At 39.0% G+C, this 21,565-nt stretch overlaps 1 protein-coding gene across 8 annotated transcripts in view, besides 2 other annotated features; it reads left to right on the top strand.

The window, feature by feature from the left end:
• ITPR2 (inositol 1,4,5-trisphosphate receptor type 2) overlaps positions 1-21,565 on the top strand; it is a 497,843-nt gene that overhangs the window by 168,540 nt on the left and 307,738 nt on the right. For all 8 annotated transcript variants that reach the window (XR_001748686.3, XR_001748687.2, NM_001414174.1 and 5 more), the window contains 7 exons: positions 809-970; positions 5,370-5,542; positions 6,525-6,644; positions 6,763-6,948; positions 8,107-8,358; positions 8,803-8,947; positions 10,529-10,679. Coding sequence is in view for 6 of the 8 variants with exons in the window: in NM_001414174.1 (NP_001401103.1) it covers positions 809-970; positions 5,370-5,542; positions 6,525-6,644; positions 6,763-6,948; positions 8,107-8,358; positions 8,803-8,947; positions 10,529-10,679 (1,189 nt within the window). In the remaining 2 variants the exon portion in view is untranslated. The remainder of the gene's footprint in view (positions 1-808; positions 971-5,369; positions 5,543-6,524; positions 6,645-6,762; positions 6,949-8,106; positions 8,359-8,802; positions 8,948-10,528; positions 10,680-21,565) is intronic.
• Positions 15,705-16,904: an enhancer, noted in NCBI's record as "BRD4-independent group 4 enhancer chr12:26800684-26801883 (GRCh37/hg19 assembly coordinates)". NCBI's record gives its function as "activates an origin of replication core promoter dependent on BRD2, P300/CBP, MED14 and CDK7 cofactors, and independent of BRD4, by STARR-seq in HCT116 cells {active_cell/tissue: HCT116}" and the evidence as "EXISTENCE:reporter gene assay evidence [ECO:0000049][PMID:35650434]".
• Positions 20,252-20,943: an enhancer, noted in NCBI's record as "OCT4-NANOG-H3K27ac-H3K4me1 hESC enhancer chr12:26796645-26797336 (GRCh37/hg19 assembly coordinates)". NCBI's record gives its function as "activates a minimal SCP1, AML or CMV promoter by ChIP-STARR-seq in naive and primed H9 embryonic stem cells {active_cell/tissue: H9 hESC(naive and primed)}" and the evidence as "EXISTENCE:reporter gene assay evidence [ECO:0000049][PMID:30033119]".

The raw sequence follows: 21,565 nt of genomic DNA, 5'->3' as shown, positions 1-21,565 counted from the left end.
TAGTTCATATCATATTTCATGAATTCCAAAGAATAATTCCTTTCTATTTTGTTTTCATGTATTAATGTTCATGCCCTTGACCGCTCTTTCATAGACAATTTCCTCATTCTAGCAGCTCATCTCCAGGTGATCCCTCCTGCTGTCTTGCTGCCGAAAAGAGTTATATTCCTCAATGCTTTTTAAATGCTTCCTAACTGCTAACCTTCTTACAAGAATCTGGCTTACTGGGAGCCACCAGCTGCCCATGTGGCTCCTAATTTGTCACATTTGAATGCTGATATGTTCATCGATTTGGCCACATCTTTGTATACAAAAACAGTAAATTAACTCTTTTATAAAGCAGTTTAGAAGCAATGTTTGGAAGTCATTTTCTGATGTCAGTTTTAAAGAAAAGTAAATGTTTTCTTTATATTATTTTGATTTTGAAAGGTTATAGAAAATAATAGAAGAAACTTATTATAAAGCCCCTAGAAATCAAGCTACATTTTAGTTCATCTGAATATGTTCATGTAACTTGGTGAAATTGAACATCTTCATATTTCTTATTTTATAAAATATGATTTCTAAACAAAATTAAGCATTTTATTTAAAGAATGTTTTTGTCACTCAATGTAGGTGACCCTTTTGGCAGTACTTTTCTGATCCTTGATATGTTGGTCCTGTAACGTAAATCCTTTTGTTTTTCCCGTTTACTCTAATACTCAAATTTATATAAGTGTTTTTTGAATCAATGTTCTTATTTGTTAAAAAAAAAAGGTTGCAAAACATTTTATTCATCAGAATAGGTGGCTGTTTTTATTCCTGATAGGTATTTGGAATTCTTAAAGCACCCTTTAAAGAGAAAGCAGGAGAAGGCTCGATGCTGAGACTTGAAGATCTGGGGGATCAAAGATATGCACCCTACAAGTACATGCTGCGGCTCTGTTACCGCGTCCTGAGACACTCGCAGCAGGATTACCGGAAAAATCAGGTCAGAGGGTAGCCCCCATTTTAAACTGTTTCATATGTAAAGTATGGGCAAGGTTCTTTGGTTATAATTCTACAGCATAGAAAGTAGGAATGGGAAATTTCACTTTGAAATGAAATATTTTATGTTGGGCAATACATAAAAATGATTTGTAAGTATTTTTGAGTTGTATTGAACATGGCTTTATTCTTCCATATGAAATTAGAATCACTGGGGGAGGATGTCCTGAGTACTAATATGTGCCTGTTATTGGTTCCTGGTGGCCAGGACATCCTGGATCTATTATGTAAGGAGGAATGGAACATTTTTGGCTTGAGGAACATGTGAGGTACAGCATCACCGTGTATGGACCAAAGAGGTTATAGTTTAGTGGAAAAGATATGATGGGAGACAAAGAAAAGACACAGAGAGAAAAGATAGAGTTATGGGAATTCACCAGAGGGAGAGCCCAGTGGTGGCTTTGGGAACCAAGGAAGAATACTTGGAGAAGGAAGCCTTTGGGTAGGATGAGAATCATTTTCATAAATTGTATGGGAAGAGGTATTTGTGAAGAGAGATCTATGAAGTGAGAATGATAGATGCTAGAAAGGACACGTTTCCCCTAAGATATTTGCAACTGCTGAGGTCAGGGAACCCAGATGGATCTAGGGGTACAGCTAACAGTTGCCAGTTGCAAGTGAAATTTCTCTTAAGTCTCATTTTTATCTTAAAAATACAAACCAGGTGGCGTGGCTCAAGCCTGTAATCCCAACACTTTAGGAGGCCAAGGTGGGGGGATTACTCAAGGCCAGGAGTTCTAGACCAGCCTAGGCAATATAGCGAGGCCCCCATCTCTACAAAAACGAAAAATACCTGGGTGTGGTGGTGTGTGTCTGTAGTTCCAGCTACTAAGGAGGCTAAGGCTGGAGGATCACTTCAGCCTAGGAGTTCGAGGCTGTAGTGAGTTATGATCACACTAGTACACTCCAGCCTGAGCAACAGAATGAGACCCTGCCTCATAAAAAACAAAACAAAACACAAGCTTAATATTTTGCAATGTGTTCAATAATGTAAATGTCTAACATACAATTGTATAAAATTAATTATTGTTTGATAAATTAGGGTTTCTCTTAATCCATTTGAGGGCAGAGTGCATCACTGTAAGTTTCATTGATGAGTTTGGTCCATGAAGAAGGATGGTGTGGGAGAGGGCTGGAAGGGCAGGGTGGGCTAAGCCACTAGGGCCTAGGATGTCAATCCTAGAAGGTGGAGGTTATTTGGGAAGAGTTAGTAGTATTTATTGTGTGCTTACTTTGTACCAGGCTCAGTTGTAAATACTTGTCATGAATTAATTCAGTTAACACTGAATTAAGATGAAGGATAGAGGCACAGAGAGGTTAAGTAATTTGTCCAAGGTGATAGTTTAAGAATGGAACCAGTATGCAAACCCAGGCTCTGAATCATCACACTATTGCATCTTGGTAGTTTGAACATTTTTGGGGAAGAAAAAAAGATTTGCTTGAGGAAGACTGTGTTAAAATGTTTTGGCTTCACAATTCTGTTTGAAGAGTAAGAAAGGTCTGAAAAGAGTATATAAAAACATTAGCTAGAAGATAAATAATATGGCAAGGAATAGGAGTAAGAGCTAGGGGTGATATAAACAAATCCTTAAATATTGTCTAATATAATCCTAGTTATAAACACCCTTCTTGCTGATCCAAATGCTGTCACTAGAATTATTTTTCCGGACTTCATTGGGTTCCTTTAAGATGGCAAGATGAAGTAGATAGTGTTGTTCATATTTTTTTGGAAGAAGAATTAAGTAGCAGGACATTAAATGGCCTTCCTTCAAGCACTTGGAGGCAGTGTTAGGGGATGCTCCCAGTATCGGACCCTGAGTTTTTAGTGGAGGTCTGGAGTGGGGAAGGGAAATGAGAGGCTGCTCAATGTTTTCTCCTTGCTCTGGTTTTTCTTCTTGGGTTTGGAGAAATACACTTGTGAGACTGGTCACCACTTCACCCGTACGAGCAGTGCTGTATTATAGAGATTGACATTAACAGAAAAAATACCTAACAGGTCTATAGAGGCTACCCAGGGCCCTCAGGCCCATCAGGTCCCATGATGTGCACCCTCCTTGATGGCTGTCAGCCTTTGGAAGAGTACTTGGGGCCCCTTCCCTTTTCTATAGCCCTGTGCTTTGGGATGGCAGGGAGCCAGCTCACTTTGGATTTGGTTATTCTGCTAGTCAGTAGTAGGTTCCCTGGGCGACATGTCTTACCTGGTGTCAGTTCTGTCTCTCAAGGTCTGGCACACATGGTTCTTTCTCACTCCCCTCTCAGTCTTGGCCAGGGATCAGTGTGTGCGTACACACACACAAACACACACACGTGTGCGCTCGTGCACGTGCCCGTTCCCTCCCACCCCCCCCCCCCCACACACACACCCCTACCTAGTCATATCACTCCTTTCAGGTACATGTTTATGCACTTTAGGGACCTGCCTTCTGGGTTTCTTTGGAGCATAGAGTTAGAGCATAGATGATAAAGGAATAAAGAATCCCCAGCATTTGTTAAGGGTTATATTTTATTTTTCTTCCCTTTCTGTTGTGTGTTCTAATTGAATCTCAGTGATAGCTGGGAAATGTTTTTCTCATTTCTATTGAGTTAAGAATGCTTGGTAGTAAGCATAAAGCAGCTTTCTGATTTTTTAGAACATTTAAAAATGTTCTATATTATTATTATTATGTAGTATATATTATATAGCATTATGGCTATAATTACTTTGTTTTTCTTTATCTTCACCTATATGTTGTAGTCCTAATAGGAAGTTCATTTGTGACTTAACACTCACCCATATATTTAATATTGAAGATCTATTTATTACTATTTATAAAATTTGATACCACCTCTAATTTCATTTAGTTATTTATTAACATTTTTGGATGTTTGCCTTGTACCAGAGTATGACTACAGTAGTCATGAAAGTGTATAAATCAATATGTATCCTTAAAATGATATAATAACAGAAGACATTTACTTTACTTAACTGGCTCCCCAATACACAAAGCCATCATTCTGAAGGGCCACAAAAATGCTGCTTAGCATATAATTAGATTTGTGCAACCAATATCATTTTCAAGGAATAGGTACATTCCAGTAAATTTTACCTAAGGCAAAACCACTTTCTAATCTATCAGTTGTCTTGTCAGAGAAACAAAGACACATTTCCAGGGAGAATCCCAAGGAATCAAAGTAAGAACCTTTCATGGTGGAAGGGGGAGAAGCTCACCAGTCCCATGGCAGTGTGAGATGTGCTGCTTGTAGATAGAACGTGGGAGATGAACAATAGTGGTTTGGGATATAGGAAAATTAGTGTGATGAATAAGGAGTAGATCAAACAATAACATGATTGAACCTCCCCAGTGGCTTTCTCTTACTTTTAGCACAATCTCTTTGCCCTTTACCATGGCTCACAAGGATTCTTTTGACCTACCTCTCAAACTTCGACTTTGCTTTCTGCCCCTTACCACTGCCTAGCTACAATGGCCACCTTCTGTTGATAGAACATAAGCTTGGTTCTACTACCTCAGGGCCTTTGCACTGGCTATTCCCACTGCCTAGATGGCTTCCCTTTAGGTCTTCCAATGGCTGCCTCGTTCTCTTCATTCCCATCCTAGCTCAAATGTCACTTCTTCAGCATAGGCCTTCAAGAAACATTTATTGGGCAAATGGATCTAATCAATAAAGTGATTAATCACATTGCCCTGTTTGGTGGCTTTTTAAAGATAAAAAGTATATGACATTTTACCATTATTTTAAAGAAAAGATCTTACAGATCATTCCAGCCTATTCACAGAAAAGGAATCAATCCAAGTCCATCTAGGATCTTCAGGTAACAACCCAGATCTCATGTCTCATGAATGAAATATCAGGCAGTCATTTTCTTTTCTATAATTATGCCCAAATCATTGGCTATGACTTTAAGTAAGAGATAGAAGAAAAGCCTCTGTTAGACTGATGAAATCCAAAGTTATTGTGTCATAAAAGCTTATTTTAATTAGATTTATTTTTCCCACTTAGCCTCTGTTAGACTGATGAAATCCAAAGTTATTGTGTCATAAAAACTTACTTTAATTAGATTTATTTTTCCCACTTTGGAAATAGGTATTTCCAAAATACCTATACTGATAATTATTTCTAGGTGTATAATTTTTTAGTAGAAGTTCAAAAACGTATATGCCAGTATGTTTTCATGTCTTTCCTCAAAAAGCTCTATTTATTGAAAAATTTACTTGCTTTTCTTTTGAGAAAATTTTTAGTGAACCTTCTGTTGTGAATAAATTAATCAATGTTGTTGACCCTAATAGAACCTGTTATTTGTAAGCTGTTTGGCAGTGCATTCTGACAGCCTTTCTTCTTTGCAGGAATATATTGCTAAGAATTTCTGTGTCATGCAGTCCCAGATTGGCTATGATATTTTGGCAGAAGATACTATCACAGCTTTGTTGCACAACAACAGAAAACTACTAGAGAAACATATCACAGCAAAAGAAATAGAAACATTTGTCAGTTTACTCAGGAGAAATCGGGAGCCAAGGTTTGAAATGATTCATGCGGTATTCTTTTCTAGTGGAGATTGCGGCTTTATGTTTTATTTTTAGAACTTTTAAAAGTTAGAGTTCTTTCACATCACTAACTTTTATGGACGAACTATGTTGGGCTTATTGCTATAATAATTGTATATAATAAAGAGTTATTACCTCATAAGAGATCAGAGCCCTTTATAGACATACTTAAGTGTGATTGATTTTCACTCTGAATCCTCATGATTTTATAGAACTTTATGGTTTCTCAAAATACATTCATATACATTATCTCATTTAGATCCTTGCACACTTGTATGAGATACACTGGTTGTATATTATTATCCCCATTTTAGAGATGAGAAAATAGAAGCCGAGTGAGCAACTTGCCCAAGCGTACCCTGATAGGAATAGAATACGAGGTAAATCAAGGGCTTCTGACTCCACATCAAGCTCTTTTTCTGTTGTACCATGCTGCCTTATCTTGAAGAAATGAGTGCAGACAAGTCAAGCCAATTGGCAATGTTTCCTTAGCTAATTAGCACAGCAAATAAATGCTAGAAGGTAGAAATGGGCCTCTGACTTGACCAGGTCATAGTAATTTTCATTAGGCGTGTGCTCTATTTCTCTTTTGTTCAGTACAGCATTAGCTTTGATCTGCCTTTGTTTTGATATTCAGCTCTGGGGAGACTCACTTTAGGGGAGATGAATGATTTTCTAAACATAAGTCACGGTGCTGTGGGTGGAATATCATAAAATAAATAGAAGCAAACACATCCTTTTTGAAACAAGACTTATATTAAATAAAAAGAATTGTATGTTTAATTTGTTTCTAATGATGCAGTAGATAAACAACACATTAGACAAATGTTGTGTGGAAATAATATTAAAACATATAATAAGTTTATTTTATTATATTCCAAATTATGTCTTTATTGTGATGCTTTTATAAAATGCTTTGTCTTCATATTCCATTTAATTTTTTTCTTTTGCCAGGTTTTTGGATTATTTGTCAGATCTGTGTGTGTCTAATACCACTGCTATCCCTGTAACTCAAGAACTCATCTGTAAATTTATGTTGAGTCCAGGCAATGCAGACATTCTCATTCAAACTAAGTAAGCCCAGATAATGGATGCATCATTTTCCTGTTGATTATTTGTAAGCACTGTAATTCTTTGTCATATTTACAAGTGTACTTTTTAGTAGATTTTTGTATGTGCTATTTATTTGAAGGGTGGTCTCAATGCAAGCAGACAACCCCATGGAGAGCTCCATCCTTTCAGATGACATTGATGATGAAGAAGTTTGGCTCTATTGGATTGACAGCAACAAGGAACCTCATGGCAAAGCTATCAGGCACCTTGCTCAAGAGGCAAAAGAAGGCACCAAAGCTGACTTAGAAGTTCTTACCTATTACAGGTTAAGTATTATAGACAATCTTACAATAATTCCCAGTCTCACATATTAATTGAGAACTGGTTCTCTGTAGCCACTAGTTAGGTATCTATGAAGAGGCAATTTTAAAAGTCATGTCAGAACTAGGGTAGCTGAAATATTTAGTATTGTTTAAAATATTCAAAATAAAAGTTAACATTTATATTTTCTGCATACACCACTTGTAATTTCCTGGTTTCTCACTAGCTTGGAATTATTGTGCAGCCAAAGGCTTTGTCCTCATATTGAGTAGAGTGGAGGCAGATGAGAGGCATGTTAGGACCTAGGTGATGGAGTTGAGAGGGATATAGACATGGAGCTAAGGAAATTGATCTGGCTACAAGGGTAGCTCAGAGCAAGTAAGCCAGTAGTTTAGTATAGAGTGGATTATGAATATGTGGTGACCTAGAGCCTAAGAGAAACTGGTGCCTGTAGTTAACGAAAGTTCAGCCCCGGAATATGGCAGCGGAAGTACTGAAGGCAGTTCCTGGTGGTCAATATATTGGGAGCAAGAACCTAGCTGGCATCTTTGAGTTGCAGGTATAGAAACCCAAGGCAGAAGCCTTGGGGCCAAGTTGGGCCCAAATGGCAAGAATCAGACAAAGACAGATGACGCTTTGTGCTCCCTGGTTTCTACAGCTATAGCAACCAAATCAAAGGCTAATTCTTAATCTCAAAACTGGGCTGATAAGCCAAGTGACTCATGCCATTTGGACTGATCACTTTTGGTTTGGGAACTGAGTGGGGCAAAACCTGGAGTGTAGACACTAGAGCTAGAAGCTGAGTGAGGCTGGCGAAGGTGGAGAGAGATGGTTTCATGTGAGCTGTTACCCATAGCCTTCAGCCTGAGTGCAGTATTTGTCATTCTAGGAAACCCAGAATGGAGTGCCTAGTGACACTCTCCAGCAGACACATTTTGCTGAAACAAGTAAGAGGTATTGTAACTGAAGGGACATAGAGACAGTTTCATATATGTCTTGTCATTTGATCTTAATGGTTAACATACTACAGTCAAGAGTTTGACTCCAATATCATGAATGCTTGGAAATACAGGTGTCTTAAACATAGATACTGATTGGTACTATGACGTTTAAAGATTTCCTTGAGATAAGACAATAATGTAATATGTTTACCATTTTTAAGGTACCAGCTAAACCTCTTTGCAAGGATGTGCTTGGATCGCCAGTATCTGGCCATAAACCAGATTTCTACACAGCTGTCTGTAGACCTGATCCTGCGGTGTGTGTCGGATGAGAGCCTGCCGTTCGACCTCCGAGCGTCCTTCTGTCGCCTCATGCTCCACATGCACGTTGACCGGGATCCCCAGGAGTCCGTGGTGCCTGTTCGCTATGCCAGGCTCTGGACAGAAATCCCCACAAAGATCACAATTCATGAGTATGTTTGGAAAAAGGTCTTGAGGCTTTGGAATTCATCAGATGAACTCCACGTCAAATGTCTACAGTTTTGAAATGAAACATGTGGAAAGGCATTTGTGTATCCTGTCTTGGGTTGTTAATCTTCTAAATGCAAATAAGATACTCGTTTTGAAGGGTGAAATGATAACTCTCAGTGGTAATAAAGGCACTTTCTAGAAAACAGTAAATAATATTGATGTAATGAGCAAGAATTGTAAGTACTTAATATTGTGGTAGACTGATATAACTGCTTTACACGTGCTAACTCATTTCACAATAGCCCCATTTTACAGATGAGGACCCAGCCTCTAGGAAAGCTAACTAATTTATCCAAGATTATGCACCCAGGAAACTACGTGTGTTTTCCTATTTTTAAATGATTGCAATCAGTTTAACTTGCGTTATCTTCTTTCTCTATTTCCAGATATGATTCTATAACAGACTCTTCCAGAAATGATATGAAGAGGAAATTTGCCCTGACAATGGAATTTGTTGAAGAATATTTGAAAGAAGTTGTAAACCAGCCCTTTCCTTTTGGGGATAAAGAAAAAAATAAACTGACATTTGAGGTACTTTGTCCCTCTAATATTTAGGATGTTTTGGTAACTGGGTAGTTTAGTTCATGAAGGTATTATTTTCTCTGCTTTTTTTTTTTTTTTTTTTGAGACAGAGTCTCACTCGGTCGCCCAGGCTGGAGTGCAGTGGCATGATCTCGGCTCACTGCAAGCTCCGCCTCCCGGGTTCACGCCATTCTCCTGCCTCAGCCTCCCGAGTAGCTGGGACTACAGGCGCCTGCCACCACGCCCGGCTAATTTTTTGTATTTTTAGTAGAGACGGGGTTTCACCATGTTAGCTGGGATGGTCTCGATGTCCTGACCTCGTGATCCACCTGCCCCGGCCTCCCAAAGTGCTGGGATTACAGGTGTGAGCCACCACCCCCGGCCTTCTCTGCCATTTTTAGAAGATAGATTTGGTGCTTTGATGTCCAGTACAAAACATTTTATTTATAATTGTCTATTAATTACTATTTCCCTTGATTTTTTGTTTCATTTGTGTAAGATTTTTTGCATGTAATAAAGAAAGGCAGTTTTGCATATTTTGTAAAATGTTTGGATACTTTTTTTTATCTCTATGGAGATGTTTTTATTTTCACCAAACTGAATTGAAATACTTTCAGTTTGGGGATGTAGTGACAAAACTAGAGAAAGGATGCTGTTACTTGATAACTGGTGTATTAGCTACCTACTGGTGTATAACAAATTACTCCAAAACTTGCAGCCTGAAGCAACAAACATTATCATAGCTTCTATGGGTCAGGAACCTGGGAATAGCTTAGCTGGGTGGTTCTGGCTCAGGGTCTGTGATGGGGTAGCCAGCAAGCTGTTGACTGGGATTGCAGCCATCTAGGGCTGGACAGTCTGTTTCTAAGGTCACTGGAGGGGTTGTTGGTGGCCACACCTCCTTGCTGGCTGTTGGCACCTCAGCTTCCTGCCATGTGGGCCTTTCTGTAGGCTGCCTGGGTGTCCTCATGACATGGTACCTGGCTTCCTCAGAGCAAGCCATCTGAGAGAGAGAGAGAGAGAGTACAAGATGGAAGTTGCAGTCTTCTGTAATCTAATCTTGGAAGTGACATGTCATCACTTCTGTTGGTTACTTGGACCAACTCTGATACAGTGTGGTAGGGGGAGACTGTGCACTGGGGCCACATCTTGGAGGTAGACTCTCGCACTTGGAATGTCCTGTGCGATCCACAAGACCACAAAGCAGCATAGGGAACATAGATTTCTGGGCAAATTTCTTGGATAATAGCCATTTATTAAGGTAATTAATTGATGCAACCATTTATTAAGTGGCATCCTGCTGACTTAAATTACTTAATGTTTAATTAGGATGTAAATAATTCTAGTGTAAATTTTGTTAAGTACCTTAAAGCACTCTGAGTCTTGCTTGGATTTAGTTCTAGACTTGAATAAATCAAAGTTCAAGTGGTTGCTTTTGCAAGTATTTTAATTCCTAGGTGTTAAAGAATTAGGAAGTTTAGAAATTGCTGTGCTAATTTAGATAATAAAAAAGCCAATGTTTATTTCAGTACCCAATTTTTTTTTCCACTCTTTCACCCTCCCCCTCCCCGCTTTTTTTTTTTTATTAAGGTGGTCCACTTGGCTCGGAATCTTATATACTTTGGATTTTATAGTTTCAGTGAGTTATTAAGGCTAACAAGAACACTTCTGGCTATTTTAGACATTGTACAGGCCCCCATGTCATCATACTTTGAAAGATTAAGCAAATTTCAAGATGGAGGTAAGAATTTTGGGAAATGTGATAATATCATTGTTATTACTTGGAAGTAAGATAAAAAACAAAACTACAGAGAAGGGGTTGCTATTGTGTACCTGCTAATATATGTGTGCATATGAACACAATTCCTATGACAGGGCTGAGTGATAATAAGGTGGATTTACAAACATGCATCTCTGTTTATAATGCTAAAGCTTTGAAAGATGAATTCATAAGGTCAGATTCCATCTTTAGCAACTAACATTATAGCCAAGCCACTTGTGAAAATATTCTGTGTTAAAAAATGAAAACATCTTGATGTTTGTGGTCATGTGGTTCAAGCAATTCTCCTGCCTCAGCCTCTTTTATTTTTACAAATACAGATGAAATTATAAGGTGTCAAAGAGAGAATAGATTTGAAGGCTGTGCTCCACAGCAGAGCTTAGACGGATGCAAGGAAGGCCAGGCACGGTGGCTCACGCCTGTAATCCTAGCACTTTGGGAGGCCAAGGTGGGCAGATCATGAGGTCAGGAGATCGAGACCATCCTGGCCAACATGGTGAAAACCCGTCTCTGCTAAAAATGCAAAAATTAGCTGGGCATGGTGGCGTGTGCCTGTAATTCCAGCTACTCGGGAGGCTGAGGTAGAATTGCTTGAACCAGGGAGTCGGATGTTGCAGTGAGCTGACATCGTGCCACTGTACTCCAGCCTGACGACAGAGTGAGACTCCATCTCAAAAAAAAAAAAAAAAAAAAAAGAAAGATTCAAGGAAAGGGCTGCCAAAGTATCACGCCAGAGAAGGAGTGAATGCCACGCCAGTGTGGGAACCTGTGGAGTGAAGTGGATAAGAGAATGGGTTTTCAAGTTAGAGTATCTGTATTCAAATCCTGCCTTGACCATTTATAAGGTACTTGTCTTCTCTATGATTTTTCTTTTCTCATCTGAGATATGAAGATGGTAATAACAATATCCTTCTCACAGTTTCCTTGCAAGAATTGAGGGAATGTATACAATATATTCAATGGACTTTCAACAGTGCCTGTCTCATAAGTCAATACAAAGTTTTTATGACGATTGTCTTGGGTTGGATACCCTAAAAACACCCTGATCTAGAGGCTTGTTTGCAGAAGGTATATCGAAGAGTGCACTTGGATATGTACCTGTAAGGAAGTGAGGAAGGTAGGACTGTGCAGGCAGAGCTCATCTGCAATGCAGTTATGACTGAGACCTCAGCTCATCCTGTAGGGAGTTTTGGAGCTGGGATGCTCTTTGGAATTGTCACAAATTAAGGCAAAGGGGGCCACCCTTTGTGTCTTTGTATCAGCCAGCTATTAGCTACTTGGCTTCATCCTGGAGGGGGCTGTGTAACATTGGGTAAGAGTCTGGCCTAGTGAGAGGTACAGCTGTAAATAGTTAGCAACAAGAATGCCCAGCAGCTGGGGCAATAAGAGCCTCAGCCCTGAAAAGGGGACATGGGTGGAGCACAATAGTATCCACTACAACATCCACTACAGTATTAAAAGGGCAAAACCAGAAACCTAATTTCAGACATAAAGAAGAAATACCTAGTTAAGAATTATAAATGAGCAACTTACAGTAAGCTGAAGTAATTAATTGCTGCTGCCCAAATCTCAATTCCTTTTATAGCTTTCAAAAAACTGTACAAATCAATAAGAAGCCAATTGAACCACAGAAATCCCTCACCTTCAGCATAACTAGAAGCGAGGGGACAGTGCAAATGCTAGTTACTGTAAGTAGAAAAATAAACATTCATTTTTAGTACAGCTGCCTGGTGAGCTCCCATTGCAAGCTTTGAGGATGGTGAGTGGTTTTTGGAGAAACTGGGGAAGAGAAAAGGGATCGTGTGCAAAGGGAATGAAATGAAATTGTATGAAAATCACCCTTAGAAAGAGAAAGTTTATCTAGGTGTGAAAATATGGAAAAAGTATCCAGGTAGATAAGAGCACCAACTTAAAAGGAAGGGACTTGAAATAGCACAGGGAGCAGCTGTGGAAAAGCAGTGCTTCTAGGGATGAACAAGGTTGCAGGTAAGGGAAGGGCACCCCTTCGAGTCTTTTGGTGAAAGAAAAAGAGGCAAGATGGGGAGATCTAGAATACCACAAGACAAAAGAAACCTGAAACATCGATGGACATACCACTCCTCCACCGACCTCTACCAAAAGCCAAATTTTAAAGAAACTGCACTTCATGACTCTGACAGGAGGGGGCGATGTTGAACAAGAGATCCTATAAACCCGCTCCTTGTGGATCCTGTCTGCTGAATGTGTAAATGTCATCGGTATCACTATGTGAAACCACTGTAAGACCAAAACAGAATGGAAAAATCTAAACACCTCAGTGGATGGAAATTCCTCTCTGAAGAGTAACTGTGAAGCAGAAGAATATTGTAACATGGTACTCTAAATGGAATTAAGTAGCTTCAAGCACAGTGGACTATGGAAAACAGTTTGATTCATAAATTCAAAAACTAAGATCAGAAATGGACCAAAACCCAAGAAGAAATGAAATGAAAATTGATTGAACTTAGGAAAGAAATAGAATAAAATGGTTGGCTTTATTTATTCATTTATTTTTTACCAATACAGATTAAATTATAAGGTGTCAAAGAGAGAATAGATTTGAAGGAAAATCAAATAGGTGACACTGAAGAAAGGCAGGAGAACAATGAAGAGAATGACAATGATCCAAAGAAACAAGTGATGAGGGTGAGAGGGAAAGAGGCTGAAATGGAAGAAAGGCAAAGAAGAGCCACCATATGAATAACTGGAGTCCCTGAAGAAGAAAAACAAGAAAATGGAACAGAATGAGTATTTAAAATTGCAATCCAAGAGAACATTTGGAAATAAAAGACAACCTGAATCTACATGGTGTAATTATCCAGAATGGTAATCTCTAAGAGCATAATAAGATGATTATATATAGTATACATTCAGAAAGAGAATAATAAGGGTTTCAGAGAGGAACCACGAAAGCAAATGGAGAAAAAAGGAAAGCGTATATGAATATTCTTTACTATTATTGCATCTTTAATGTAAATTGAACATTTTATAAAAATAAATCTATGAGCAACATATGAATGAGAAAAAGCAAAGACCAAGAACCGTAGTTGTTAATCAAAGAGCAGGGACATGCAGGGGTCTATATTAATTCCGCTGCCTGAATCTCACTAGTGAGACTCCTTTTACCACTCCCAGAGGGTACATAACACTTGAAATGTCCATACTAAAGCTGCTTGTTATGCTTTTACAATCTTCAATCTAAACTAAATTATTCTTAGAAAGCTAGAAGTTGATCCTGACTTTTGATCTCACTGCTTACAATCTGCCTTCAGTGTTTCACCATGAAGAGTATTTTATTAAAGACATTTTTTTTTAGAGCAGTTTTAGGTTCATGGCAACATTAAGAGGAAGATACAGAGATTTTTTATTTATCACCTGCCCCCCAACATGCATAGCGTCCCCATATCAACATCCTCCACTAGAGGGGTACATTTATTACAACTAGTGAACCAACATTGACATCATTATTCCCAAAGTTCATCGTTGACATTGGGGTTCACTCTTGGTGTTGCACATTCTATGTATTTGGACAAATGTATAATGACACGTATCTAACATTATAGTATCGTACAGCATCTTTTCACTGCCCTAAAAATTCTCTGTGCTCTGCATATTCAACCCTTCTCCCACCTCCTCACCATCCCCTGGCAACTGCTGATCTTTTTCTCTTTCCATAGTTTTGCCTAAGGAAAGTACTTTTTTTCTTGGAAAAGTTGTTACCTTGTTTGCTCTCTCCACCGTCCTGTTTATATCTGCCCTCAAAGACACATAAATTTAATTTCTATAATTCTCATATTTTTTAGTGAATTCCACTGACTTCTAGATACCTTAATTATTCTTTCAGCAATCTGATAATAATTTATTAATTTATTTAACAAGAATGTATTGAAGAATTACTACATGCCAGACACAGTTCTAGTCACTGGTAATAAGTAATGAACAAGATAAACAAAGTTGTTAGCCACAGGGAAGACAATTAATAAATAAATGGGCAAAATTTCTCCTTTCTCCTATTGGGAGAAATAGTCAGATTATCTATCTGTCTATCTATCTATAATAGGAGAAACAGCCAGGTTATCTATCTGTCTGTCTGTCTATCTATCTATCTATCTATCTATCTATCTATCTATCTATCTATCTATCTAGTCTATCTATCCTGTAACATCTGATAATGCTGTGAAGAAAAATAAAGTAGGTCAATGATATGGAGACTGATGGAGTGAGGGAGGGTAGAATTTTGTTTTAAGTTTGGTGGGCAATCTCTGGAGGGATTTGAGAAGGGATTGATATGATCTGATCATGTTGACTGCTGAATGGAGAATAGAGAATATCTATGTGGGCAAAAATGTCGAAGGCTGAGAAACTGTTTCAGATTAAAGGAGATTAAAGAGACATGACAACTAAATGCAATATGCAATTCAGTACTGGATCCTGGATTAGGAGAAATATTATCTATAGAAGATATTATTGGCACAAGTGATACAATTTGAAAATGGATTGTAGAAATATGGATTGCAGGTTATATTTGAATATTGATTATGTCAGTTAGATTTCTTGACTTTTGTAATTGCACTGTGCTTAGCTAAGCTAATGTACTTGTTTTTAGCAAATACATGCTGAAGAATTGAAAGTTGAAAGGGCATGATGTCTAGAACCAACTTTCAAATAGAGCAGGAAAGATGTGTGTGTGTGAGTGTGTGTGTGTGTGTGTGTGTGGGTGTGTGTGGAGACAGATGCAAATGTGGCAGGATTTGTGAATCTAATCAATCTGAGCAAAGTCTATGTGGGAGTTCTTTGTACTATTCTTGCAACTCTTTCTATAAATTTGAAAGTTTTTTAAAACAAAAAAGTTAAGAACTTAAATAATTAATCTGGTAGGAAAACGATTTATGTTATGCAAGGTGACAATTCAAACTTCAAGAATGATCTTACAACTCTACTAGGAGATGTGTTATTAATATTATAGCTGGGTTCTCTCTTAGACTATAAATTCCTAACAAAAGTTCTGTTAGACTGTATAAATTCTTAACAGAAGAAGCAAGAAGAAACACTTTTCTGGAATCTCCAAATATGGAGATAGGATTGTCAAGCATGGGAAAAATTCCTGTGGTGCAGGGTGAGACAAAGGTCGATGCCAGAGAGGAAATCCCAGATTGTGGAAAGTACCTAGAGAAAAAAAAAGAAATATTATTTTAAAGATCAACTGTTAGGAGTCATAGCAATGTTACCACATTACAATACTCTGTATCATCATCTTGGCTCTTTGATATCTAAATGATTTGGATTGTATTTTCTTCTTTTTTTTTTCATATGGACTCCTCTCATACTGTAAGTATTTTTCTCTTTTAATGAAACTTTATCTTCAATGGGAAGTCATTTGCAAAGTACAATTAAAAAAAAAAAAAAAAGAAAGTGGTTTTATAAACATTGTTGCTAGATAGACCAGTTCCTTTAAGTAAATGATACAGTTCTGTATGCTCATATCATGTCAGGAAAATTTTGTGTACTAGAACTACATCTTTTTTATCCTTACTTCCCACTTACTAATTTTTCTCCAGCACAGTTGGGGTTGGACATGCAGAAAAATGTGTTTGGCAGGTCAGACGCAGGAGAGCAGAAGAGGAGGCATATCTAGAAGGAAAAGGCTTTACAGTTCCTGGAGTTCCATTTTTTGCCAGCCTCAGTGGCGCCAGGCTTAAATAGGATGTGCACGCACAGCATTCATTTGTTTTTTCTGGGAAATCCTGTAGCTTTAGATGCCAGTGATGAGTGTTTGAGGTTGTAGAGATGGCTGGCTTGGAAAGTGGCAATTACAGAAGTTTTTTTCTTCTGCATCCTTGGTCACACAGCAGCCCACCTCAGTGTCATTGTAAGTTGTCCTCATCCTAGATCTGGTTGGGGGTCTGCGTCTAGCTTCCAGGCTGTGGCTGCTCCCTGTCACAATGGCTTATAGTTGGCACGCTCAGCAGAAATTGCTAGGCTCAGAAGCAGCTTTTTATCTTTGTACCCTAAAGGTGGTCCGTTCAGAAAATGATTGAGGCTTGCTCATATGGAGACACAGGGAGCTGGCACTGCTGTGGCCTTCACTGTAGTGAAATAGAAGATCAGATCTTCAGGACTATCAATCCAATACCTTTCATTGGCTATACATTTACTTAAGAAATATTGTTTTCAAACAAATGTACTTGCTCCCAGGAGGCTGTGTGGTTGAGTCAATTTGCTTTGCCTAATACTTACGATTTGCTCTCAGTGATTTTAAATGCACAGGCACCATTCAGTGTAATTGATCTTTTGAGTAGAAGGATTATGGCAAGCCATGTTCTTCTTTGTCACTTATAGAAGTTAAAAGCAAATGCACATACAAGCTGATGAACTGGATATTTTCCATATTCTTTGCAAACATTTCACTTTTAGAAGCATACATCTGTTTTATACTTGCTAAAGGATATACAACCCAAAGCTTTCTATTTCTACTAATAATTAAGAGCCCTTTTTTCTTTTACAACAGCATGGGTATATTTTATTCTACTGGAGAGTCACTTAAATAGTTGAGGACAAATGTGAATCCCACTTACACATCTTCTGTGGAACAGCATGATATGTGTATAACTCTGAATCATTCGAGTATCATCTCCATGTGAATATGCATGTGGTTAGAATAGAGGAGTGGACACAGTCTGGAAATGGTTTGGGTCTGGTTTGTTATTTAGTTATCCTGTTAATATCCTTCTACCTATCTGTGCTTGCTGTTTGAACGGGACTGGGGTTCAACTTTGGATCTCCAACATGGAACAATAAAGTCTACATCGTTCAGTGAACTTTGGGCATAATTACTGTGTCTAGGACACCACTACAATTTCTTTTCACTGTTGTCTTCCTGCCCATCCTTGAACTCACCATAATTTGAAAAGGCAGTAGATCATAGAAAACTACCAAAAGACCAACCAAGAGCTAAATAGTTTCTTCATAGCTTCTCTCATTTTGCTTTTGCTCAATTTCAAATTCTTGGGAGTTTCCATAGCTAAGCACTGAAATGTGGGCCTATTCCCAGTCAGGAACCAGATAATCCTTTTTGTTGGTATATATGTTATGATGTAGAAAATGAGGAGTCACTTAAAAAAAATTCAATGGAGAATTCCATTTATTTGTAGGATTTCTTTTTCTTTGAGGATTCAGAGTTGGAAATGAAGTGCCTTTGGCCTTAGAGAATAAGATACAGGCAACCACAACAGCCTGGAATTATCCTCCTTTCCTAAAATAATTCTGCTGTCCCGAGTGACTTACAGCCCTGTGGACCCAACCCAGGGTAGGGCGGAGACAGGAGGCAGGGTAGTGAGATGTGCTTTGAATCTATCTATGTCCAGGAGTACCCCTTGCCCTAGGAGATTTGGGGAACAAAGTAAGAGGATGTCAACTCTCCATCTCCTGGCAAAGAGCCACTTGCTTGTGCAGTTTAATTTTTTGTTTGTTTGTTTGCCTTTATAGGGACTGCACATTATCTACCTTGAAGTGCTTTTTCTGGCAGCATAGTTACTGTTAAAAAGGAGAAGGGAAATTGAGATGAGAGGGGCGGGGCAGAAACATTTTTAAATATTGCTTTATGGGTGAGAAAGGAAGAAAATATTTGCAGACAAAAAAAAAATCTGCCAGGAAATAATTTCTTCTTTTATAAAACTACGAGGTTAGTCTAAATATGATCTTTGCAATCTCTTTTAGTTCAAAACTGATTATTTGAAGATTAGTATGTAATCTTCCTCGTTCATTGAATGGCGTTCTTCTTTTATGTGTGTTGCAAAACAACCTTTTTAGAAAATATCTGTGAAGCTTATCTTCTGATTAATAGCTATGATTGTTCTTTGTAAGACACCAGCTTGAATGTCCTGAAACCAGAAGCCCTAGTCCACTGGATATACTCAGAGTATCTTACCAAAAAAAAAAAAAAAAAAAAGGAAAGAAAGAAAGGGAGAAAAATAAAGACTTAACCGAGTGTGAGGTGAGACCATGAAAAAGTGTGTATGTGGAAATGGGGGATCAGAAAGAATAGAAAAGGGTTTAGTATAAGGATCAAAACCAAAGAACACATACGTACAAGCTAGTGTCCTATTACAGACTCTTCCCAGTGTTCATCTCTTTTGAATTTTTCACCTGACTGAGCTCTTTTCAGGTCTCTGCAAAGCAGTTAAGTTTGCAGTAGAGTTCACAGTGCTAAGAAGTGTTAGCAAAGTTTACATGCAAAGGGAAGGCACAACCAATTACCGTTTATCACTTGAAAAACTCGATTTCTGGACTTAGCACTTCCCAGCACCATGCTGCCTCTGGGCATTCAAGCTTATTCTTCTTGAGATGGCTCGATTCTGTCTGTCCTCCCTCTGTCCATGCTCTGCTTTCAGTGAAGTCCCTTTGTTTCTGAAAGAACTATCTTATCTCCATTATGTACCATGTTCCCCACACTTACCCATCTTCCATATGTGGTTCCTTTCTCCCTACACCTTCTGGCCATCCAAATCACACACTCAAGTCAAGGGAAGCTTTAGACTCTAAGAAAAGGCAGGAACATGGGTATAATCCCATCCACAGTGGTAGGTTTCCTTCTTGTCCCTTTGTGTCTGTGTGTATTGTATCAGATGAGCATGTACTTCTCATAACATCTTGAAATCCTTGCACTGATTTTTAAATAACAGCAGCAATGACCACAATTCTCGGCAACTCTAGAATTACGTATTGCCAGTTGTGTTCCTCAGGAAGCAGACTCTGGGAGAGGATTAGCATGAAGAAGACTTATTAGGGAGAGCTCTTAGGATCAACACCAGTAGAATGGGAGGGAAAGCAAGATTGAGAAAGGGAGAAGTTGGGTTGTGATGCAGTTTAGTGGAGGCTTCTGGGAGGTTGAAGTTGGGATGTCTTCAGGGCTGTCTCCATTAGGGTGAGGGGGCTGAGCCTTTATGTCCCCGTAGGCAGCTCTGGAATGGGTGAGTGACCGTGCTTGAAGTACCTGTCTTCAGACTAGTTGTCTTAGTCGGCCTGGGCTACTGTAACAAAAATACCATAGACTGGGTGGCTTGTAAACAACAAGCAATTATTTCTCACAGTTCAGGAGGCTAGGAGGTCCAAGATCATGGTTGATATGGTTTGGCTGTGTCCTCACCTGAATCTCATCTTGAATTGTAGCTCCCATAATTCCCACGTGTCATGGGAGGGGCCTGGTGGGAGGGAATTGAATCATGGGGGCAGTTTCTTCCTGTGCTGTTCTTGTGTTAGTGAGTAAGTCTCATGAGATCTGATGGTTTTATAAAGGGGAGTTCCCTTGCACATGCTCTTTGCCTGCTGCCATGTAAGATATGACTTTGCCCCTCCTTTGCCTTCAGCCATGATTGTGAGGCCTCCCCAGCCATGTGGAATTGTGAGTCAATTAAACCTCTTTCCTTTATAAGTTACCGAGTATCGGGTGTGTCTTTATTAGCAGTGTGAGAATAGACTAATATAATGGTGCCAGCAGATTCAGTGTCTGGTGAGAGCCTGCTTCTGGTTGATAGATGGTGCTTTCTATTGCCTGGGCCCCACAGCTCACCAGGGCATCCTTTGAAATCCAGGTGGAGGCAGCAGCTCCTCCCCACTCAACTCCCCCACAGCTTTGCTGGACACAGTGCATGCTGTAATGGGGTCCACTGGAGCCATACCTGGGGCAGCCTAGGAGCCCAGTCACAGGGTATGGGAAAGTGAAGCTCATGATGTGAGGTGGCACCCCCTCCTTTGAAATCTTTTTGGCCGCTAGCTCCTTATATTCTGGGCCTGTGATGGGAGGGGCATCCCTGATAATCTCCTAAATCTGCTGGGGTCATTCTTCCATTGTTTTGGACAGTAGGTCCTGGCTTCTCTTTAGGTGGCTAATTCATCTCCCCATTGTCATGATAAATAGCATCTGGCTTCCCTTGAGATGCCTGATCCCTAGTAAACTCTTTACGAATGGTCACTTGGCCACACTTCCAAACAGACTTTTTCATGTTTTTCAATATGGATAGGCTGAGGATTTTCCAAAAATTCAAGTTCCGTTTCCTTTTTAATTAGCAATTCCATCTTTAAGGCATTTCTCTTTTCTCATATTTTACTGTAAGCAGTCAGGAGGAACCAGACGTTCTGTCAACACTTTGCTTACATATTTTTCACCCAAATATTCAATTTCATCTCTGGCAAGTTCTACCTTCCATAAATCAGTAGGGCATGAATACAACTCAGCCAAGTTTATTGCTACTTTATACAATGATGGCTCTTCTGTAGTTTCCAGTAAGATGTTCCTCATTTCTATCTGATACCTCCTCTGAATGACCTTTACCATCCATATTTCTACCAATGTTCTGTTTGTGACCTTCTATGAAGTCTTTAAGAATACTCTTAGAGAATTCAAAAAGTATTAGAGCTACATGCTTTCTCTGTAGCTCTCCTCCTCTCCTCTGAGACTTCACAGAATCATCCTTAAGGATCTGTTTATGGCAATGTTGGCTTTTTCTTGGATGCACATGAAAACTCTTCCAGCCTCTACCCACTACCCAGTTTCAAAGCACTTCTACATTTTAGATATTTGTTATAGCAGCATCCCACTTCTTCGTAAGACAATTTTCTGTCTTAGACTATTTGGACTGCTATAACAACAGCAACAAAAATACCATAAACTAGGTAGCTTCAAAACAACAAACATTTATTTCTCACAGTTCTGGAGGCTGGGAAGTCCAGGATTATGGTGCCTGCAGATTTGGTGTCCAGTGGGGGTCTGCTTTTTGGATCACAGATGGCACCTTCTTACTGTGTCCTGACTTGGGGAAAGGGGCAAGGGG

This window comes from Homo sapiens, chromosome 12 (genome assembly GCF_000001405.40).
Source record: "Homo sapiens chromosome 12, GRCh38.p14 Primary Assembly".
NCBI classification, from domain to species: domain Eukaryota; kingdom Metazoa; phylum Chordata; class Mammalia; order Primates; family Hominidae; genus Homo; species Homo sapiens.
The sequence above is the reverse complement of the archived record's forward strand: the minus strand, read 5'-3'. Positions and strand labels throughout refer to the sequence as shown.